The 24,670-nt window shown below is 35.3% G+C and overlaps 1 long non-coding RNA gene across 1 annotated transcript in view, besides 3 other annotated features; it reads left to right on the forward strand.

Moving 5' to 3' along the window:
* LOC107986773 (uncharacterized) overlaps window positions 1-13,381 on the forward strand; it is a 34,550-nt gene extending 21,169 nt beyond the window's left edge. The window contains exon 3 of the long non-coding RNA XR_001745109.2: window positions 11,643-13,381. This is a non-coding gene — a long non-coding RNA (uncharacterized LOC107986773). The remainder of the gene's footprint in view (window positions 1-11,642) is intronic.
* Window positions 16,061-16,261: a silencer, noted in NCBI's record as "peak6419 fragment used in MPRA reporter construct". NCBI's record gives its function as "represses an SCP1 promoter by STARR-seq MPRAs in K562 erythroleukemia cells {active_cell/tissue: K562}" and the evidence as "EXISTENCE:reporter gene assay evidence [ECO:0000049][PMID:32103011]".
* Window positions 18,208-18,871: an enhancer, noted in NCBI's record as "H3K27ac-H3K4me1 hESC enhancer chr7:19378723-19379386 (GRCh37/hg19 assembly coordinates)". NCBI's record gives its function as "activates a minimal SCP1, AML or CMV promoter by ChIP-STARR-seq in naive H9 embryonic stem cells {active_cell/tissue: H9 hESC(naive)}" and the evidence as "EXISTENCE:reporter gene assay evidence [ECO:0000049][PMID:30033119]".
* Window positions 20,330-20,829: an enhancer, noted in NCBI's record as "H3K27ac hESC enhancer chr7:19380845-19381344 (GRCh37/hg19 assembly coordinates)". NCBI's record gives its function as "activates a minimal SCP1, AML or CMV promoter by ChIP-STARR-seq in primed H9 embryonic stem cells {active_cell/tissue: H9 hESC(primed)}" and the evidence as "EXISTENCE:reporter gene assay evidence [ECO:0000049][PMID:30033119]".

A 24,670-nucleotide genomic window follows, 5' to 3' on the forward strand; every position in this document is an offset into this window, starting at 1 on the left:
GCACAAAATTATTAAGCCTATTGAATAAAATTACCTACAGGCTCTGTGCATAAGATGTATGTAAAACATAAATAAATTTTGTGTTTAGACTCGGATCCTATCCCCAAGGTATCTCATTATGCATTTGCAAATAATCTAAAATTAAAAAATTTTTAAACTCTGAAACACTTTTGGTCCTAGCTATTTCGGATAAGACATACTCAACCTATATATACAAATGTTATAAAGAGAACAATATATTCAATAATAAATAATCTCTGTTCTCTGCCTGTAAAATAAGGGTGAGAAGTTGTGATTGGGTCACAATCAGCTTGACTGATATCATTTATACACACACACACACTCAAATGCATGTTAGTTCAAGGTTCCAGAGATTGGCTTTAGTAACTGAGAGAATATTTAATATTGAGATAAGGTCTTCAGATTTTTTAACTTCCTTCATCTCATCTCTGCCTCCCTGAAAAACCTATTGATGTGTTTGTGGAATATTCATTCATTCATGTAATAAATACTTCTAAAATTCATTCAACACTGTTCTGGGCTTGGAGTGTGGAGAAGAGAAATGAACAGACTTGTCCTCTACCTTCTTGGTATTTGCACTGTCTGTTGATTCAAAGAGAAGGTAGCCTATTTTTTATCATTTGCATCTCGTAAAGTTTGTCTAAATAGCACAGGTCTAAATAGCACAGGTTGAAATGTCTAATTTAAAATTTGTTCATTTTTTTTTAACTTTGAAGTTCAGGGTTATATGTGCAGGATGTGCAGGTTTGTTACATAGATCAATGTGTGTCATGGGGGGTTGTTTAAAATTTGTTCATATTTCTATGGGACTAATTTAATTTCTATTTTTATAAGAACATTAAAATGAATAAATTCCTTTGTTGTGTTTCAGAGGCTGTCAAGAAATTTTGGAGTATAGTTTAATTTTATTGTGAAAATTATTTTTAATTACTTGCAGCTTCTGTGATTATTAATTCCAGTGATAATAAGTAAAACCTTTAAGATATTGAAAAGAATATATTTGGCATAGGATTGTGAAATGAGCTTTCCAAAAAAGATTCTGTGAGAAAAAAATACTTTCATTCCAGTGAACATCCAAGACTAGGACACACACACAAATCTCATATTATCTGGGATAAATATATGCATTACAGTCATAACTAACCATTATATTTGCTAGTGACTCCTCAGGCAAAAATTATTGACTGTGTATTATGTGTTTGAGTGACATTTTTGTTGTCATTTCTGCCTTAGCTTTTACCAAAAGTTTTTTGAAACTTGAAAACTGAGCTACTTGCAATACTCTGGGGGCCAAGTGCAAGAGGAAAAATTTTATGTGAATTTGTTCCATAATGATATATGCCCAGCATGGGGTGGAATGCGAAGAAGGAAAAAGGTTGAAGACATTGAACAACTTTATTGAGCCTCCTGTGTGGTGTCTTTACAGTAGGACATTATTATTTCCCTTGGAGTGGATCCCCAGCGCAGCAGATTCCATCTTAGTCAAATGTCAGTGTAAAAACACAATTGCTTGATTCAAAGTACAAGCTTTCCTAGGATGATTTGCCAGCTTGGGTTATTTTCTTTTCCGTTTGCTTCCATTTATAACAACAACCGACAGTTACTTGCACCTATATAAGACTTATGACAATTTTTCCTCTTAATTAATTGCATGGTTTTATTTGCTTATCTTTTACTTGCAAAATCTGCAATAAAATTCCAGTCTCACGTGTCCCATGTGTTTTAAGTTTATTTTTTCAGATCCCATAAATGTTATTTAGTTTAGTAAAATTGAAGTCAACTTATAAATGATAAACAATTTCAAGAAAGTAAGATATCTTCCTGGATTTGAGGGAATCAGTAATATTTGTTGAGGACCTAACACATGCTGGATACTGTTCCTGGTGTCATGGGAGAAACAGTGACATCACAGATGGACCTTGGCATCACGAAATTAGAATTAAACTGGGGAAAGACACATACACATACCGAATTCACTGAATATAAGAAAGAATGCTCCTTTGGAGTAAAGTTTTCAGGTTAATAGTTTGTGAGTTATTTTTTCCCCACATTCTCTCTTAAAATGCTTAAATTTTTTTTTAAAGTTAAAATAGTCTAGTAACGAGAAAAGACTGTGGTAACTTTTCAAGGGGACTTACCTTGGAAGAGGAAATAGTTTAGCCGGGGAGAGGTGAGATACAATGGCAATACAAATTTCAGCCTCAAAATAAAAATGTTAAACCTTTAAGTATTTTGTAATTAAAAAATAGAATCTTAGTTCTAAGGAAGCTGATCCATTATTTATCCAAGTCTTTTTAAAGAATGGTGAAATACCAAAGAAGAAAATTTCAGACAAACCAGAGCATTTTTACCCAGAAAATTATACACCCATAAAAGAGAATAATGATTAAAAATTGTGACTCTTATGATAGCTTTTTTTTCCCCATAAACAACTTGCATAATTGTATCTGGAGGGAGAGTTCAGCACAAGTCTTTCGTACCTAGACTCTGCGGAATCAAAGTCTTGCACCCTGGCAGACTAAACTCTGCTCTTAATCCTTCTGGGGTGGATAAATTAAGTTTCACACATTTAATTTTTTAGATCTCATTGATACTACAGTGCATTCGTGATTTGAAATCTCATTGGTGCTACAGTGTATTTGTGATTTCATGGATATTGTGAACATCACAGATCCACTCTGCTGTCCTTGGCCTAAACATCTGTGAGGCAGACAAAATGCGAGGGAATACTGAGAACTTCAGTTAGGTACAGGGTAATGAAAACAAATGCTCTCTTCACCTCATCTCATTTGTGTAGAAGTTATGTTAAAATTAAACAGAAGGGAAAAACTGTAATGACAGTGGTCTTGATCCTTTTGTCTAATTTGATCATAGGCAAAATGTTTGTCAGTTCAGTTAAGTATACTGAAGGTTCAGGGGAGAATCTGGTAATCTTCAATGTCAGCAGCTTCAAATTTTTTCTTGAAAATTTATTGGTGGCTAAAGGTACGTCTCCTATCAGAAATGGAACAAAGGGAGGGAGGGAGGGACAGAAGAAAAAAGAAATTTTAAAGGAAGAAAGAAAGTCAGGTAAGAAGGGAGGAAGGAAGGAAGGAAGGTAGAAGGGAGGGAGGGAAGGAGGGAGGAGGGAGGGGAGGAGGAAGGAAAATCAAACATGTTAGCATCTAATTAATTTTTCATCACCGTCTTGCTTCTCTTAGAAGTTCATTTGCCACCTGTCAGCCAAATTTCAGATAGACCCTTTCAGCAAAGTCTGTATTCTCTGTAACCAGCTCACCATGCCAGCTCCTTCATGCAGCTCTGAAGCGGGTCTTGCAACTACCATTATCTTGGGATTGACATTGTAGTACTCTTATGCTTAGAACATGATTGGATAGGGTTGGAAAAACAGGGATTAGGGAAACCAACTCTCTGTTTCCAGAGGCATGAATGAGCAAATGAGGCATGAATGATGTTTTGCAGGATCCTGCCTCATCATGGGATTGTGTTTTCTTTATTCTACTGTAATCTAGCAACCTGTATTAGTATCTCATTTAAAATAACCCATTAAGATATATAATATATATTATATTCATACACACACATACATATACATACATAGTATATATGTATGTAAGTGTATATACATATATATGTGTATATGTTATATATTATATAGCTCAATGGGATATTTTAAATGAAATTTTACATATATATATATATATATATATAGAGAGAGAGAGAGAGAGAGAGAGAGAGGGAGGCATGTAAGCACTACGAACTCATAGATAATTGGTTTTAAACTGCAGTCCTTTCATTAAGGGGTTCCTTTCTTCGTAAATTGTTTCTAATCTATATGTCATTCAGTGCCATGTAAAAAATCTCATGGTAATAATTTCAGCATTATTTACATTTTCTCCCCCAAACTAGAAGTTAATCAAGTATTGTCCCCACTTTTTTTTCTGATTCTCAAACCCAACATTAGCACGAGACCATTCATTTAAAAATGAGATGATAATATAATCCACACCAATCATATACCACTTCATCTCTATTTGGTGGCATTACCCTCTATAATATATCCTAACTGAGGATATTTATAATTAGAAAACTACCACTTCCCACTCAGGTTTTATTTCAACTTCTCTTAATTGGTAACTTGACTCAGCTTCCGCTGTGATGACTACTCTGTCTGGCTTCTCTCCCTTCCACCTGTGGGGTGCACCTTCAAACCTTCTGCTTTTTATTGCACACATTCCACTCTAGAAAACTACTCCACCTTTGACAGCTGAATCCTTTTCTTTCTTACCTTAAATCCAATTCATAACTAACCTTAAAATTTCCCATTTGACAAATGTCACAAGGACTCTTAATGGATATTTCTTTTATTTTCTTTAATGTATTGTAAATGCTTTCATCTAGTGATCTATGTCTTAGGCTTCTAATAAATTTCTTCTTCCATTCCTAATGCAAGGTATTATATGAAAAAAATAAATAAATAAATAAAAATAAATACAAACATTATATATGTGTTTTACATTATGTATTATATGAAATTAGTAGACAAAATTAACTTTTTTCTCTATTATTTTTAAACTGGGGCAAATGACATTTTGAATTGTGTTCTATGCAATTTTTAAATTTGAAAAATCTTTTTTTAGATAAAAGGATAGACATTAATTTAAAATCCCAGTTCAGTATCTATTTTGTATTTCATAAGGTTAGTTTTTGACAATATTTATTTTTCAAACCAAGAATTCTGGACCACCATATTTGGTATTTCATATTAAATAAGGAATTATCTTTAAATACCCAATCATCTGAAAGTATTTAATTTTGAAAAATAAAAAATCTTAAAACAGATAATTTATTGATTATTGTTAGCCTTATGATGATTATATGGATATTTAAACTTAATTGAATGTGTATTTTGAACCCAACATTCCTACAATGTGGGAATAAAAATAATTTCTATGAAAAATTAAATACATCTTTTGTAGTTATTATGAAGGTGGATTTGGACTGACTTTAGAAATTGGCTGAATTGAATGACTTTCTGTGCAAATGGAAAAGAACCGACCAGTTTTGGGTGTAGCTGCACTTTTAAGAGAAGAAAAGAAGAAATGGAGAGAGACTAGAACTCCAATTAAGATGGCTTTTGAGAATATAGCCCTTGAGTATTCTTTGGAGTCTTGAATTTGATTCATTATTCTAATCTCATTTTATTTGTCTAATCTCACAGCTTCCTCCCCTCCCATATTTACAAATGAAGCTTAATAGTGAATTATGTTAAAAATACTTTCTGATTCTATACAGTTTAAAAAATATCTATACATATACCAGAAACATAGAATAATTGACTAAATCTGAAGAGGGTCTAAAAATTTAGATTTCTTTTTATGTGAGATTAGATTCCCACTGGCTAAGCCATACCAGTACTATGGTTTGTATGCACTGTAAAACGAGGGTAACAAGTAGAAAATTACAGACAAAGTCACTATTTCATGTACCCTTTTTGCCACATACATTATTTTAGCTATTTCCAGCAAAAATGATGGCAGTTCTGATTTCTTCTCAGTAGGATATTTGGAGTAAGTTTAACAGCTTAGGAAGAACCCATTTTGTTTTTTATAGAAGAACAAATTTCCACACTTAATATATATATATACACACATGTATATACATATATATATATAGACACATATATATGTATGTTTTTGGCGTCTTTGTAATTAATAGCTCTACTGTCTGAAAAGAACATTGTCTGTATCTAATATTTGTATTCCTTAGATTATAGTCACTGTATATGTGAATGGGACATTAATGATTTTAATATATCAGAGTCTGTTTTTTTTAAACAGAGGCCATGGTCCTATCATTCTGAATAAAATACCTGGGAAATTTATTTCAAAAGAGCTTTATCTTCCCTTAGTGTGAGAAACCTTTCAGCTCATTACCAGACAGCAATTTAGTGAGACATCATTCAAGATGACGATAATGGTTTGAATTATTTTGATGCCCCAAATAATGAGGATTCTCCTGCAAGTGACCAAAATTTATAGCTGTGGCTTGCATAGTAGCTTAGCAGTTCACATATGGCTTATGTCAGTGGCAGACACAACGTTATTTTCTAAATCACATTGATTAGTTATGTGGTATTGAAAGATCTTAAACAGAATGAAGGTCTATAAATTGCAGAATGGAGTCCTCAAAACTTCTTATCTCTATTTCAGTTCTGTCAAAATGAACCCAAGAGCCAAGCATTCCATGTACACAATGCTACTAGTCAAAGAATAAGAACTGAGACCATTCAATTTCCTCTTTTTCTGGCAAGGAGCCAGACTGACATTTTCTTTTCTGTTAGTTTTGGCAAGGAAGAAAGAGAGAGGAAACTTTACTGCACAGTTACTGATGGTTTTTCTATTTTGTTTTTATTAAAAATGTTGAAACATGGGCCCTTTGTCAAAATTATTTTATTATTGAAGGGTTGGTGGGGTGAATGAACTGGCAACTGTTCAGAAAACCATTAACAGCACTGATAATGGTCAATCTCATTTGGGTTCCCCAACACAGAAGTGCTTAATAGCAATAAATTATGCTGCAGTACGGTGACTGATGTGCATGTTTAATGAATTGGTACAGACTTGGAGGTTAATCTGCTGGGAGGTAACAAACTTAGCCCATCTGATATTGCAATAAAAGTATGATCTTTTTAAGTTACATGATGATATATTTTGGGCACGAAACTAAAAAAATGAGTTTTCATTGGCTGCAGATTTGTTGGGTCTCCAAGACTAAAACATTGAAAAACCAACAACCCTAATAGTGACATTTGAATGAAATACAAAACTTAAGTACATCAGCAGTGGAATGCAACCCACCCAGAATGAGAGACTGGTGGCCATCAAAGCACTTACAGAAAATGCAGTGTGTTCTCAGAAAACAATTGTTCTTAAGTTAAACCCTTTTTACCTATGCAATGGATTATATTTTTAGTTCTTAAACTTATTTGTATAACAAGAAAACAACTACTCTTTCTACATGATTCTACAATAAATATTCCTTGGAGTTTGTAGAGAATATGTGACTTTTCTCAGGAACCACAGAGAGAAAATGACTTTGTAAGCCTAAACGTAAAGCAGTTATCAATTTGAAAAACATTATAAATGGTTCTGTTAGCTGTAGGGTTACTGATGAGGTGAAAGGAGAAAAAAAATCAGTAAAACTAAGGAACAATACTTTAATATGGGAAAATATTTGCATGCAGGCAAACATGGGAAACAATTACTTCTCTGTTTTGTAATCAAGTGTTTATTAGTGTCAGTTCACACTGTGATATCTAGTCCAGGCAGAAAGTGAGATTAATTGTTTCACCTCAAAACAATCTTTTTCTGCACCTTAATGTTTTAAGTATTCTTTTTCTTCTTCATGGAGTAAGTATTCTGACATGGAGGATATCAGACTGAAACATTTGAAAGCCAAATCCTCTGGCTATGAAATCATTGAAAGCAGAAGTGAATGACTAATTAAAATGCTTAATCTGCCCAGAATTCCTATCTGTACTTTTTTTGTGGTGTCCTTTGCAGATGATTTAGTGACAAATTGCTGACAATTAAGGTCCTTGAGAAAAGTTAAAATATGAAGTACTATGTTTCCAAAAGAAGATAAGAACCATTCTTCTAGATAAATCAGTTGAGAGGCCTGTTTTGATAATAATTATCTAAGTGACTGTATAATAGGTTTTAAAGAATAGAAATGTAATGAGAGGATTTACCTAATTGGAGACATTGTGCAGGCTCTTATAAGATAGATGTCTTCATTTCTTTTTAAGATTTTCTTATTAACTGAACATACTCATGGATACTCTGATACATATCTTTTACAAAGTTTTACAACTGAAATGAAGGAAACTATTTTTACAGTACTTCCTAATTGTTAGTGTTACCAATTCCTAAGCTGCTTGAACCCTATGTTTTCTGAACTCTCACACTGCTGACATTGAGGTCATTTTTGAGATTGTGCAAGGATCAAAAGCATCCTTATATGTTTCTGGCAATTTCACTAATTTGCTTAATTCTTCTATTAAAGAAGGTAGAATATCAGAAGCCATTTTGTTCAAATCTTATTCGTGCAATCATTACATAATCTAATACATATTTAATATAAATATACCAAGACTCTTTTTTTGACCTTCTAACAGAATAACATGGGTTGTAATATAAAATTTAGTCAAACTGCTTCCAAACAATTCCCATGTCTTGTTTTACATAACAAATTTTCTAACTTATGTGCTTATGTGTACTGCTTAAAATTGAAGAGAATTTGGTTATAGCAGTTTAGAAAAAAGAATTTGAGAGAGTAGTTGAAGCCATTGGTCCAATGTTTTCACCTTTGAAGAAAAATTTCTACCAATCTCATTCTTTTGTGGGAGGGAAGATTGCAAGTGAGAGTAACAGTGGCAGGGACAGCTTTTTATGCAATTGTGCAGGCAACTAACATGCTTCCACAAGAGCTCACTCTATGAATTAGTAACTTTTCTCTGGGTAGGGCGAACCATAGATTGTCTTCTGAATTTGCAAGGATCTACTCACAAATCTTTAATTTGCCCTCAAAATTGCACTTTTGAACTTGTATAAATAGATGGCCAACATTAAATTAGCTAAAATGTTTGATTTAATGGCAAGATATAGATATGTACATATGTATATATGTGTGTATATATATGTGTGTACTTAACTGTATAAGAGAATGAATTTCTTATGGAAGGATTTTTGTTTGTTTTTTAAGGTTTAATTTAAATAACAAGTAATATTGGTCAAAAAGTTGAACTAGGATTATATTTAATTAAAAATAAAGCCATGCACTGTATAGAGAAAACTTGGAGGAATTCAAGAGACATTACACATATTGAACTGAATTGACCATTTGCAAATTCTAAAGACTCTAACAAATTACGTCTTCATCAAAGTCATCATGATATTTTCCTTAGCTCTCTGAGGAAATGCCTGCAGAAGACTTGAGAGGACCATCCTTTTATAGTTTAATGTCTCTTCACTGATTAGCGAATATCATGTTCACTGCAAACAGAGGATGAAGAAGACACTAAGTAGAAATGTGTCCTGAAACAGGGGGCAACCAAGTTTCCCACATTCAACAAGAAAAATGGAACTGCATGGAAATGCAAGATGTCAAGATGAGAAGTGGAACAGGCTGTACTTTGTGTAAATATAGGAATTTCTTAAGTTATTTGTGTTTGAGAGGAGAGAGTTGTTTTTGCTTCTTGAAGGAATGTACAAAATAAGGATGGTGATGAAAAGGGAAGGATGAAATATTGCTTGGAGACTGTCAAGATGGTGATAGAATGATGGAATGAGGAACGTCATCGTGATATGCAAGGGGAAAAGAAAGAAAGTGAATACCATGCTAATAAATTCCTTCTCTTTCCTGGTGGTATTTCTAAGGATAGAAATAAATATAAAAATTATCCTATTAAAAAATCAACATGGTAAAAATGTTTTCTGGTAAAACTGTTTAGGTTTTATTTTGGGAAGCAGTATTTATTCACCTATATATCTCAGTATTAATTTTGAAATATATTGAATTCTAATTTATATCAAACCATAATAAGTAACTCAAGATAGTGACTATAATCAATCCTTATATTATTTTGTTGAAATAACATTATGAACATGCACCTTAAAGGATTGTACACAGCCCTCAATTTGTAGTAACAAAGCAAGACTTGAAGAAGTGATATTTCCAAAGTAACATAACTAATATCGATTAAAATTAAAATGAAGTATTTTGATTCTGACGGCAGTGCACTTTCCAATACACAATACTGTAGGTGAAAGATGAAAGTATCCCATGTTACTAATGAAAAATTTGAGATTCAGAAATATCCAAAGCTGTGATGTCAGCAATAGAAGCACAAATATCAACTACCCAGACCACCAGATTGCCAGCCCAGCACTGGATCAGCAAGGCCTGCATTTCCAAATGTTCATTTGTGAGTGTCATGAATAATACTGAGTAAAATTCTTATACATTTATCAACAAATGAATACATAAAGTCTCTCATGGAAGATTTGGTATAAATGATTTTATTAAGGAAAGTGCATGTCTCTGTATACTTTTCTTTCTACACTTAAAAAAAAAACCCCAATTACCTGAGTAAATCAGAATTTCCTTAGTGGTATGGGTTTGGGAGGCCAATAGGCTTGGATGCAAATCTATTCTTCACCATCAATGGGTGTGAGCTTGGGCAGGCAACTCCCCTTTCTGTCATTTAGTTTCTCTACCGTAACTTGGGATAATAATAGTACCCATTTCTGGAGTGAGAACTAAAGAAGATGATGTATGTAACTGATGAACGTAGAAAGCACTCAAAGAATGTTCACTATTATTAGCAACCTGAAGATACCCATAACGATGTACAATGCATGGTATAGCAAGTAGTCCTGAATTTTGAAATCTGTTATTTTCTATTTATTATTATGTTTAATTGTGGCAAAATACATTTAATACAAAATTTACCATCTTGTCCATTTTTAAGTATACAGATCAGCAGTGTTAAGTACATTCTTATTGTTGTACAACCATCACTATTCTCTATTTGCAGAATTCTTCATTTTGCAGAACTAAAACTCTGTACTCATTAAACAACAACTCTCCATTCCTTCCTCCCACTAGCCCCTAACAACCAACATTCTATTTTGCATTTCTATGAATTTCACTACTCTAGGTGTTTCATATAAATGGAATCATGTATTATTTATACTGGCTTATTTCACTTAGTGTAACATCCTTGAGGGTCATCCATGATGTAGCGTGTGTTAGAATTTCCTTCCTTGTAAGACTAAATAATATTCCATTGCATATGTATGCCACATTTTGTGTATACATTCATACATTGATGGACATGTGGGTTGTTTTTACCTTTTGATTATCGTGAATTATGATACCATGAACATAGCTACATAAATAACATTTTGAGACCCTACTTTCAATTATTTTGGGTATATATCCAGAAGTGAAATTTCTTGATTACATAGTACATTTATTTTCTTTTTTTTGGAGAATTGCCATATTGTTTTCCTAAGTGTCTACATCATTTTATATTCCCACTAACAGGGTTCAGGCTTCCAATTTCTTTACATCCTCACCAACATTATTATTTTCCAGTGGGTTTTTTTTTTTGATAGTAGTCATCCTAATGGATTTGAGGTGGTTGAAACCTTTTATTTTTAATATAAGAGATCTTTGAGGATCTGTTTGTCATTTGTTATAGAAAGTGACTGTTAAACATACTCTGAATCTACTGTCATTGTTAGTTTGTAAAAATCACAGCAAAACATTGGGGAGATAATTCTAAATACCTAAGGACTCACTGGTGTTCACATGGCAACAATGGAATGAAATTATCACAAACTAGTAACTAAAATTTTTATTTCACAATTGTTAGGTTTGTATCATTGTCCTAAATTCTAGTTATTACATAAACAATATAACAATTGCAATAATAGGACTCAATTAATGTTGAGAAGATTAGGAAGCTTGAGTTTGTTTGTTTTATAGATGTCAATATTAGGATATCTTCTTGAAATTTCCACCATTTATTCCCTTTCGTCCCCCATTAATAGTGTATTGTGTAGAGCCTGGAGTATTCTACCCAGCACTGGATACCGGAGTGGATTTTTTTTCCCCTACTTAATGTAAGTTTAAGGCTTTGTGCTTATTTTTTAAAAATCAAAACCAGGTATTTCATTCTTTTACTATTGATTCTTATATATATCTGCATATAGTGAGTACTATTTATAGAAATACATGTGCAATTCAGAAATATGTATTTCATTGTTAAAATAAAGATTAAAGCAGAAACTTATTTATTAGACTCTTAATTAATTTTAGAGAAAAATAATAATGAATAAGTTGTACTATGGGTTTTCAATGGGCAGTATCTATTTCTGGAACCACTAACCAATGATTGAATAACTAAGTCATTAATCCTTCAATGTGCTTAAGCTCTTAAATAAATGGGCACAGAGGATAAATAATTTTTTAAAAAAGTGAAAAACTAGCCACCAAAGCTTATTTTGTTGTCCCTCAAATTTACCTAGTAATTAGCTGGCATTTTTCCTATGATATGTTAAAGTCAATTAAATAGATGCTTTAGTCAGGATTAATTGTATCACAGTAAAGTTAAAAAGGAAGAATATGAATGCTTATGTTTTTGTTTACTTGAATGTAAAAGGAGAATCATTTTACCCTAACTTCTAGGATGTTTGGATCCATTTATGACAGTCTGCAAGCTTATCTTCTTATACATTTTTTTGCATATTGTAATGTATGATGGGCTTATACCATGACAAAGATTGAAGATTAATATTGCGCAAAGAATACTCTCTTCCTTTGACCTATTCAAAAATATCAATGAGAAGGTTTTTGGAAATCTTTTCTTATTCTACACAGAAGTGAAAATATGCTACAGGCCTTGGCTTCAAACTCTTTTAATTTCTTATTTAAGTCTTACTCCTTGTTTATAAAAAGAAGATAACTTTAAAATAGTGCTGTATGAACTAAATTTAACTAGAAATATAAAGCACCTTCTATATAATGAATGTACTAAAAATATTAATTCAGGGTCCCCCTCTACATACAATATACATATTCAGAAGAGATGATTTAATTATGGTCAAAAGGAAAATTTGTGTGCTCCTGATTTTGTTTTAATTTTACTGTAAATGCCTTATTTATACATGAATATCACCTAAGATCACGTTGTTTACATTGGTATTACAATTTATCCATTTTATTTCAACTCAAATTTATCAGCGTAGACCACTTCTCTGTAGTCTATCAGGTGCTGAGGAGAGCTGCTTTAGAGTGAAGACTTTTAGATTATCTGGGACTCTTTTTTTTTTCTGTTTGGTTACTGTAAGCAGAGTTGACAACTACCACAAAAGAAAGTATTGTTCAGAAAGCCACAGCTGGGATTGCTGATGATATTATGAGGCCTTCAGCAAGCTGGGTTGAAAAGAGGAGGGGCTGATAGGGCTTCTATTCCAGATGGATCAGAGAGGCTCCCAGTGAGGGGAAGAGTGAGAGCTCACTGACTCCTAGGTGCGGAAAGTAGGACCTTTAAACACAGACAACTAAAACACTTCACTCCTACATACATAACCACAAAAAATAATTTCAATAAAAGTAAGTCACTTTCTCAAGGATATCTTAGAAAATGTTTCTATTTGATCACATACTGATTTTTCCAGAAGTATTTCAAAATTTCATTAGATTATTAGGTATGAGTAAACGTACTAATGATTGAAATCCTTAAGGTTAAATTTGAGTGATTGTAAAGGACATGAGACGTGAGCATCAATGCTGCGGTGGTGTGAGCACTGTTGCCTTCAGATTTTTAGAAGGTAGACGGAGAATTTACCTAGAAATAAATGATATTGCAATGTCCCAGAATACAGAGTTCTTAATTATAGCAATGCATTTCTATCTGTCTCATGACTCTGGATTTATCAACCTTCATCTTTATAGTTGTGATAATTGGCAATAACGAAAAATTGAAAATATAGTATTTAAATATTAAATCAGAGAGAACATTTTTTTCTTAAAATTTATTTACAAGTTATCATTAAATGGAAAATTTCTTATTCTTGCTTTCCCTTTCCTCTCATGATAAAATTTAATAAAACCAAACACTGAATTGGGACACCAAATCACTAGCACCTTAAACTGTATTCACCTGGGCAAGCCATGTTAGTAAGTTAGGCTGCTGCAGTCATATCCTTGAGATACTCTGTGTGAGGCTGATGACTGACTTTACTCAAAAGAAAACCGAACATCAGGAAATTTCCATCCTTAGAAAGATCAAGTTGGCCCTTACGTGTAGAATCATCTAAATGGGTAAAAGACAAGAGATAGGTTGGGAAGTGAGGAGGCTAAGGGAGAGGAGACAAGGTCCAGAACTGGGCAATGGCAAAGGAGCACTTCTTGCCCCTAGGTGACTCGCAACTCAGACTTTGTGTCCCTGCTTGCTCTCTTTGGTGGAGCATCAGCGTGATTTTACAATATAAACTCCATCAGGATTTTTCTGCATGAAATCCTCCCATGGCTTTATCAGCTAGAATACAATTCTCACTTCTCTCCATCTGGCTCTATCGAGTTCTCCAACCTGTGTCGTCTGGAGCTGCTCTCACCAAGCTCAATTACTCCAGCCAAACAAGTCTTTCTGTTCCTCAATCCTTCTTCCTTAGAGTCTTTGTAAATGTTCTTGTTTTCTCTTGGAATTTGCCCCCTGCTCCCTTGCACTGTTTCCCCTTCTCCCCTTCCGTCCTTCTCACTAAGGTCTCAGACCAAGAATTACTTAATTAGGAAGAAGTTTATTGATTAAACCCTGCTATTTTCTACCTCTGCTTCTTGCTTAGTTTCCTTCAGATCACTTCACATTTGCCACCATTTTATTCATTTATTTACTTACATTGTGGGTCTTCTCTTTGGAAATTTTGGCCTGCCATCTTGTTAGCCCACAAAGAGCATTGGCTTCATTGTAAAGCCATGAAGGAATTACAGAGAACAGTGGCTCACATGCTTCGTTCAGTACACTAAAGCAGTAACAAATATGTGTCAAAAACTCACATGCTTTCTGTGAGAATGTTGCTATTCTGTCCATTCTGCTTTTCTGTGGAGAGCTGTGACATGATGTTTATATGTTTTAGCAGAAAGTGTGTGTATCTCCTAGAAATGTGCAAAGGACAGCATTAATGAGTATATGCCCAACATTTAACCATTCCGTATGCCTAAATTAAGGGCTTCCTTGGTATAAGGCACAGGTGCAACCTTTCTACTTATTTTACTTTATTTTCCTTTACTTTTTTGTCTGACATAGATGATCCTAACACCTCTGCACTAGAAGCTCTGTATCCTTTGGAGTGAAGCCCCTTCCGCTAGTTTCCTCAGATGCTGGCAAGACTTCAACTTATTTCTTTTCCTTTGCCAATGACAATATTCTCAATTTTTTAGTTCCTTTGAATATCCGTCTTACAAGGTTTACCTTGCAACAAATGCACATGCGCGCGCACACACACACACACACACACACACACACTAAGTGTTCGTGAGACCCATGTACTTGGCTCCAATTGGCAATAGAGTCAAAGCAGATGCTACACAGATCTTTGCTATATTTGTTATAGCCATGTCATCATAAATTTATTCCTATTACTTCTCTAATATATGTTAGTAGATACAAAAGCCTAAAGTCTTACGTTTTAAGTGGTTATTGGTATCACTTTTATAAAGTCTATAAACTTATACACGAGGGCCACAGCTCATATCTGATTGCTTATGTGCTAGCAATTTCAGTATAGCATGACGTATTTTCTGTGTGTTGAACTGCTTAATTCCCTCACAGTGTATTTTGAGGTAGCTGGACTTCAAATTTTTCTACAAGTGCTTTTTAAATTGTATTTTGAATATTTTTCAAAAAGTTCTTTGAATGTTATTTTCCCAGTAACATTTAAAAATCTGTCTTAACCAAGGGATAACTATCCGTATTTATCTTTCCAATAACACATTTTTTGGCTACTATTACATTTATCTTCATTCTTCTCTTAGACTCTAAAGTCACTGCACAGGAATTGAATCCACTAACTCAATGTAACTAGCAAGATCCCCACTTTTGTCTTATTTCCTTCATGGTTACTATGGGACACAGAAAGGCACATTGTAGATTATAAGTTATACAGGACAGACTTGAGGTAATCTATTCAGTGCCTCTTCAAAAACTTGCTACCCAAAATAAATTTTTACTATGGAGAGTATTATGTAAGATGATATTGTACACTGGAAAAATCTTGACTCTTGTGAGACAGAAACAGTAATGATATATCATAAAATATACATTATCATGTTACTTTAAAATTTAATGATACACATTAGTGACCTTGATTGACTAGAAATTAATTCAAAATTGTACAAATAGAGGAAAAAACCCACTACTGTTATCAAATTTCAGCTTAGGTCCAAGAATGACCTGTCCAATATAATAAAGTTCTTACTGTCTTCAGAACATCAGAGAACTTACTATCCATGGTTTGGTCTTTGAAGTCACCATGACACCATCGCCTCTGATAAAAGAGTTTATTTATAACTTGCTCAGTTTATGTCCTTTCCCACTGAATCAGCAGGCTCTCTAAGGTTTGGGGATATAATTTCAAGGACTGTTAAACCTCTGTCAAAGTTTCCTTGGCCCCCTGAGGGGCCCTGTTTTTCAACATTCTCTTTGCTAAGACAAGACTTCTCAAGAAAGTGCTCAGAAAACTGACAGCTTCAAGTACCAGAGGTTTTGTAATTTGAAGTGGCATTTAATCCGAAAAATAACATTAGCAAATCAGCATATAATTGGCTTTCTATTTCCTTTTTCCCACCCCTTGTTTTTTTTTTTTTTTTCTCTCTCTCTTTGGTCAGGACAAGACACAAGTCAAAATTATACTTGATACGATACAGCAATTTCTTCATTCTTCAGAAGGATGTGCCTATCCACACAATTAAGTAGATGGAATATCATTCCCTCAGAAAAGTAGAAACATGTACCTTTTAATAGGAATTATTTCTATTTCTAGTGTTCTTTTTACATTCTCTCCTTTGTTATTCATATATACACTGACATTTAAAGAAGTCTTTGCAAACAACTAAACTTTGTGAAAAAGTTAACAAAATATGTTTACAAATAAAATATCACACAACCACTTTATTTCTGTATTTAATTGTTCTTGGGTCCCCTTATCATAGTTCAAGTTTTCTTGCTTTTTGGCTCTTGTACTCCACGTTATACTATCTTCACATTTAAGACTTGTCAAACTGAAACGTGGGAAATGCCCAAGGGGCTTCTATGAGATCTAGACCCTCTTAGTACCTCCCTAAATTATTCTTCTTCAGAATTCAACTTTCAACACTTCATTTGTTAATACCCTTTCTCTATCTCTCTTTTTTTAAGCAAAGCAAGGTTTTATTACATATGAATCTAAATGTCTTTTGATGAGTTATTGTTTAAATTTGTATCACAATGATTTGATTGGCATTCACTACTCTGCATGAAATATACGTACACCGTATCATTTTCATCATATTCATCTCCACATGACTGTGCCATTCTACTGCTCCTCTTACTGCTAAGATCACGGAGGGCTATGAAGATACTGGCTTTGCTTGAGGTCACTGTTCTTGATGACAGAATAGGAGTTGGAAATCTGGACTCTGGTTTTATTCTACTAGTTAGTTTTGAGAGTCTTACTGCTGCTTCTTTAACAACCAATCGTTGCTTATTTTATCTTCAACAGAAGAGGTCACATTTTGTTGGTTCACATTGTTTTGATCAGGTTCTCAAAGATCTACTGAATGTCTACCTCCATATACAATTAAGGTTATGTTCTGCTGCTTGTTTTATGTTTTGCTATTAGTTGCACAGGCTTTAAAATTTATTCTTTATTCCCAGTTCCTTTTTTTTTTTTTTTTTTTTTGAGACGGAGTCTTTCTCTGTCACCCAGTCTGGAGTGCGGTGGTGTGATCTCAGCTCACTGCAACCTCCACCTCCCAGGTTCAAGTATTCTCCTGCCTCAGCCTCCCGAGTAGCTGAGACCACAGGCACATGCCACCACACCCAGCTAATTTTTGTATTTTTAGTAAAGACATGGTTTCTCCATGTTGGTCAGGCTGGTCTTGAACTCTGACTTCAGGTGATCCACCCTCCTCAGCCTCCCAAAGTACTGGGATTACAGGCGTGAGCCACCATGCCCAGCCCACTTCCTCTTTTTAATAACTTGTAACCTGGAGCAAATTCCTCAATCTTTCGAAGTCACATTTTCCTTTTCATCTGTTCACTGGGTTCACAATAACTTCATCATAAGATTGTTACTAATTTTAATGAGACACTTCATATAAAGTGGTCAGTAGTCAATAAGTGATGACTATTATTGTTAATAAGTAAGAGATATAAACTTTATTCTTAATTACATTGAAATCCAATTTGGGAAGTAAGAACTATATATTGAACTTATTTAAGAAATAGTAATAGTTACCAATTATTAAATATTAAATATGTAAATATAGTAAATATTTAAGTAGTAATATTTAATAATGTATGCTAGATATTGGGATAGCATTACACAAGCATCTCATTTAATTTAATTCTAATAATAAACCTATAAGAAGACATTATTTATCCTCATTTCTTTGGACAATGAAACTGAAGCTGGAAGAAAGTAAATTCCTTGTTCAAGATGTCTTAGTAATGAGACAGCCAGGTGGGAGGGGGTCCCTGGGGAAACTCTAACCACCCTGCCCACTGAGGTGGAGCCTCAGGTTTGCAGCAGGGAGGAGGCTGGCCCCTCCTCTTCCTGCGTGGAACCTGGGATTCAAGCTGTGGTGGGTAAGCACTCTAGCAGGGACTTTGGCCTACTGAGACTCCCTGTTTCTCCTTTTCTTCCGTTTCACCCAATCAAACCCTGTCTTACCATTCAAATTGTCTGCGAGCCAAAATTTTCATGGACGTGGGACAAAGAACCCCGTCTTTAGCTGAACTAAGGAAAAGTCCTGAAACATTTTTGGCGCACAACATGGGGGCTGGAGAAGCGGTGAGTGAAATGGGGACTCAAAACTTCTCGCTGTTGCTTCTAAGTCTTTTCATCCTCGGACTTCAGAGGGTGGGGGAAACCATGCCCCCAACCCCCGTAGCTCCCGGGCCTTTTCATGGCCTTTTCCTTCCTTTTTGGAGACCCACCGGTGAGCAGCGGCTCCCACCGTTCCCCACTCGCTGCTGGGGCTGGGACGCATGACCCCAAGGGTCCTGCACAGGTGGCTGGCTGGTTCCCAGCTACTGGAGGCTGCCCCAGCCTTCCCCTTCCATGGCCAAGGGGTTTAACTCTATCGGACAGTAAGCTTAAACTTATCTTCCTGGTGGAGGAACCACTTGCATAACAATAAGAGGTTCTTCCCCATGCACTTTTAAACTGTTTCTTTTCTTTCCCCTTCTGTACCCTGTCAGCAAGTTAACTTTTAAAATTTTATTTTCTTTCTAGAAGATTTTGTTTTGTTTTGTTTTGTTTTGAGATGGAGTCTCGCTCTGTCCCCAGGCTGGAGTGCAGTGGCGCCGTCTCAGCTCACTGCAACCTCGGCCTCCCGGGTTCAAGAGATTCTCCTGCCTCAGCCTCTTGAGTAGCTGGGACTACAGGCACATGCCACCACCCCCGGCTAATTTTTTTGTATTTTTAGTAGAGACGGGGTTTCACCGCATTAGCCAGAATGGTCTCGATTTCCTGACCTCGTGATCTGCCCGCCTCAGCCTCCCAAAGTGCTGGGATTACAGGCGTGAGCCACCACGCCCGGCCTAGAAGCTGTTTTACTAGGGCAGGACCCCCTCACCCCCGACCCAACTAGCACTGTTTATATTTTCTGCAAAGTTGTGGTTGTGAAATCAAGCCTCCATCTTATTTTACACCCTGAGGGCATGGCTTGTAACTCCGGTGGCAAGGCTTTGTTTAGCAATCCTGCTTGAGGGGATGAGCCCTCTCAGGTTCAATATCTGCATGTTTTCCTAGCCCTGTCTCTTAAAGGGCCCCACCCAGTGACTGGGTTTTCTTCTGCCTGAATGTGTGTGCACTGTGTGCGATGTCTCTAAAAAGAGCTTTAAATAATTTGGCCAGAAGAAAAGCGCTGGGATCAAGTATTTTGTTAAGGGAAGTTAAAAGCTATGGTACCTTTCATTTCACGTGACTGTGACTTCAATCTTTGAGAAATAAAAACAGCCCTAAAGACTTGGTAAAATGCAGGTCAGATGCTAGGTTGGCTAACTGTTTTGAGGCTACAAACTGCTTTTTAGGTTTTGAGAACTATTTGACTTTCTGGCTTCACTATTGGTAAGGCCCCGGGGCATATGAACTAAAACACACCCTTAACTAAGAAGGTAAACCTTGGCTCCACTTAGCACACAATTAAAGCAATTTACCAAGTTTTACCTTAAAATTAAAACTTGCGGAAATTACTATTACAACTCCTAGTTATAATTGAAACTACTGAAAATAGATTTACATGCAAGGGGTATAAGAACAGTAAAATGTGTTTTATAGTAAAAGGTTATAAGGAGACATGGAAATGTAAACTTTGGCCTAGGGTTAAAGGATTGTTTTGAGTTAGACAGGAAAAGCTGAAGGTTCAAAGAAGTGGTAGAAGAATTGTGGAAATTAATCTTGCAGAAGAGCTTCTTTGTGTGGACATATTGACTAAATTCGAAGGGGATTTAAAAGATTTTTGCTTCTTTAAAATTTCTGAGTAATTGTTTTGGCAAAATAAATAACATGGTAATCTGGAATTCAGTTTCATAATATCAAGTGTTTTAAACCTCGAACATATTTGACAGCCTTCCCAAAATCAAACTGAAGTTTCAAAATTGTCTTCCCTGGCACCTGGCTTTTCGCATACTTCAGAGAGCCCGTGAAGTGTCCAGAAAAGAGAGGTAAACAGGATTGACGTGTTTAGATACATGAGATTGCCAAAATGATGTTCAATCTTCTTTAGGTATATTTTTGTGAATAATGCTAATATATGTTCCAAAATTGTACGGGATTTATAAAATTCTAATGGCTAAGTATATGCCATCAATAATAATTAGGGTTGTTAAGTTATTGTAGACCACAGAGATAACCAAACTTCTTTGTCAGTTGTGTTTCTAACTGTAACTACCCTGGACATTATGCTATTCACAGACAATTGTCGTCTTGTTTTAATCCTTTTCAAAGACGGTTTATAATGAGCTATAGAACTTTTAACAGGTGCTCTCAAATACAGGCTTCTGATAACTTTAGAGACTGTAACATTGGAATAAAGGAAAATGTATAGGACATAAAGAGCTGAAATGCTCATGAATATCAAGCAAAACAAGAATTAACTAATGGACTGACCTCAGAAAGCTGAAGCAACATTTCTGACTTGCTTAGAATATCGCTGATCCATGTTTTGTTTTTCAGAGTCAAGGAAACGGATTTTGAACTGATTACAGCCTTAATAATTAAGTAAGGTATATACTAATGTGATCAAAATTTGGAGCACGTTTGTTCTGTCTGCCTCATTCTTCTAGAATTTGGAAAATATCTGTGAGTATTCTTTTTATTTTTTTTTGAGACGGAGTCTTGCTCTGTCGCCCAGGCTGGAGTACAGTGGCGCTATCTCTGCTCACTGTAGCTTCTGCCTCCTGGGTTCCAATGCTTCTCCTGCCTCAGCCTCCTGGGTAGCTGGGATTACAAGCGCACGCCACCATGCCCAGCTAATTTTTGTATTTTTAGTAGAGACAGGGTTTTGCTATGTTGACCAGGTTGGTCTCAAACTCCTGACCTCAGGTGATCTGGCCACCTCCCAAAGTGCTGGGATTACGGGCGTGAGCCACCACCCCTGGCCTCTGTGAATATTCTTATTCTTATGGCAATATAGTTGTTTGCATCAGTGCGGTAAGAATCCATTTTTGTTTTGCAACAGGACACATTGGAGAAAGTGGTTATTTTACCAAGGCTTTGACTGGAAGGGTATGCTTCCCTTTAAGGAGTCAAGCTCGACTCATAGAGCCAATAAAACCTCATAGGACTGAGTTGTTTAAATAGACTTTATTTAACTAGACTAAAGTTAATGGGGAAACTGGCCTCATACCCTTTCCTACACAGTCCTGAACAGGGTTCCTGACTGTGGTCAGTAAAGACTGTCACTTTCTTACAGGTGCAGGAGCTCCAGGTTTATCTTGGGGCCTTAGGAGGAGAGGATCACCCAACTTGCTGGTATTTGAGGATGCAAACCCTTGGCTGGGCTGAGCTTTAAAAGGTCTTATCAGTGATTCCTTGTGGAACACATGTCCATCAAAGCCAATCCAAAAGGCTTATGTAGAAATAATTATTCTTGCTATACTTTATGCAAGTAATGAGGTCAAGTATAAGACTAAAGTCTATTAAACAACTCAGTCCTAGGATCATTTGTTTCTTAACGAAATAGAGGACTAGAGAGAGAGAAATTATGTTTAAAAACTTATATAGTTGTCATTAAATTCTAAACCCACTAGTTGTTTTTAAGTTTTTGCCTGCATTTTAGACTAACCCTGCTTGTTCCTGTGAACCTACCGAGAATCTCTGGCTGCAGCTCAGAAAGAACAAAAGGGATGGATAATGTAGAAATCTGGATTAATATTTTAGTTCTGAGCAGTTATCCTGCAAAGTCTGCCATATGATGGAATAAACAGGGAATAAATGGGATGCCCATCATGCAAAGGTTTCCTTTTTGGGAAAGTAAGACCAAGGGAACTAACCAAAGCCAAGCACCATACACCCAAATCCTAGCAAGCATAACTGTAGCTACCAGTTACCTGGTGTGTCACAAGACATCCTTTCTTCTCCCTTTTTGGAGGAGGACTCAGTTCCACAGTTTCACCTTAGCATTTGGTTTATAAGGAGTTAGCATTTAGCTTATAAGGAGTTAATGCAACCCCCACCCAGAGACATATTTTTGTCCCAGAGGTCAATTCCAGGCTTCTGGTCAAAGCCCTAGAAAGAAAACTGGATCCTAGAAATCCACAGGAAGATGGCAACAGAGGTTAAAAGGCACAGCACAGGTGAGCGTGGTTGAAAGAATGTCGAAAAAATAATTGACCACTGTTGGTTTAGAAAACCCTCCTCCTTAGAGGAGTATTTGCAAAGGAACTTTTGGAGAAGTAGTTATTCCAGAATGTGGGGAAAGATTCTTCCATTTTGGTGTGTACTTTGTTAACAATTAGACATTTTATCCTAAATATATTAACTTAGAGATTCCATTTACAAAAGAAATCACATGTTTTTGGATCTGATAATAAAGGAAAAATCGACTTGATCATGCTAATAATGACCAAAGTATCTGGCAATTACAACTTTTTGTTTATTATGTACAATATTATCACATATGTGAAAGTCTTAGGAATTATTCAGTTCAACTAGAAAAAATTATGAGGCAAATGAAGAATATAGTCATTTAATGTTAATTATAAATATTAAATGTGGTATTAAACAGGAAGTATTGGGGAAAGTTTTGATTCTCCTGTGCCAATCCTTCTTTCTCCCATTAAGTGTATGTATCCCCTAGTGCATAGTACTGGGCTTCTCTATTAACTCCCATACTTATATCCCTGAGGAAGTCATCTGTACATACGGTTTACATTTTGTCAATATCCACGAAATCATTTGTTGAGATTTGTATTAGGATTGTGTTGAATGTGTAGATTAAGCTGGGAAGAACTGATATCTTGACAATATTGAGTCTTCCTATCTATGAACATGAAGTATCTCTTTATTTCTTTTTTGATATCTTTTATCAGTGTTTTATAGTTTTCCTCATAGATGTTGAACTTTTTTTTTTTTTTTTTTTTTTTGAGACGGAGTCTCGCTCTCTCTCCCAGTCTGGAGTGCAGCAGCGCGATCTTGGCTCACTTGCAAGCTCCACCTCCCGGGTTCACGCCATTCTCCTGCCTCAGCCTCCAGAGTAGCTGGGACTACAGGCGCACGCCACCACGCCCAGCTAATTTTTTGTATTTTTAGTAGAGACGGGGTTTCACCGTGTTAGCCAGGGTGGTCTCAATCTCCTGACCTCGTGATCCACCCACCTCGGCCTCCCAAAGTGCTGGGATTACAGGCGTGAGCCGCTGTGCCTGGCCGTTTTTTTATATTTATACCTTAATATTTCATTTTTTAGCTGCTAAAGTAAATGGTAATGTATATTTAATTTTAAAGTTCACTTTTTCATTGCTGGTATATAGGAATGTGATTGACTTTTGTATATTAACTTTGTTTCTTGCAACCTTCTATCATTGTTTATTAACTCCAGGAGGGTTTTTTTTGGTCAGTTATCTCAGGTTTCCTAAGTAATCATATCATCTGCAAAAACAGCATTATTTCTTCCTCCTCGATATGTAATGCTTTTTCTCAGTGGTTTATCTATAATTTGCAATATACGTTGAAAACTAATCAAAGTTAACTTTCAAATAACACTATACTGCTTCACAGATAGTGGAAGTATCTTATAACAAAACATTCCTAATTCTTCCCTGTCATCCTGTGTATCATTGCTGTCATTCCTTTCACTATACATAAGAAGATACAAGTATTTATATCTATATGCATACATAATCTAATACATTGTGGCAAATATTTTGAATCAAGTGTTATCTGTTGAATCAATAATGAGAAAAATATAAATTTTAATTTGACCCTTATTACTTCTCTAATGTTCTTCCTTTCTTTCTGTAAATCCACATTTCTGATCTATGTCAGTCTCCCTTTCTCTGAAGAAATTTCTTTTAACATTTCTTTCTGGGCAAGTTACTGGCAACAAATTCCCTCAATTTTTGTTTGCCTGAGAAAGTCTGTTTCTCCTTTGCTTTTTAATGATAATTTTTCAAAGTACAGAATACATAAGGTTATTTTCTTTCATCATTTCAAATCAGTCTACTCTCTTATTGTTGGCATGGTTTCTGAGAAGATGTAATTCTTATCTTTCCTACTTGATAAATAAGTTGATTTTTTTTGTCTTTGATGGTCTATAGTTTCAGAATGATATGCCTAGGTGCAGTTTTCTTGTCTTTCTCTCTCTTTCTTTCCTT

Source organism: Homo sapiens, chromosome 7, assembly GCF_000001405.40.
Source record: "Homo sapiens chromosome 7, GRCh38.p14 Primary Assembly".
Lineage (NCBI taxonomy): Eukaryota > Metazoa > Chordata > Mammalia > Primates > Hominidae > Homo > Homo sapiens.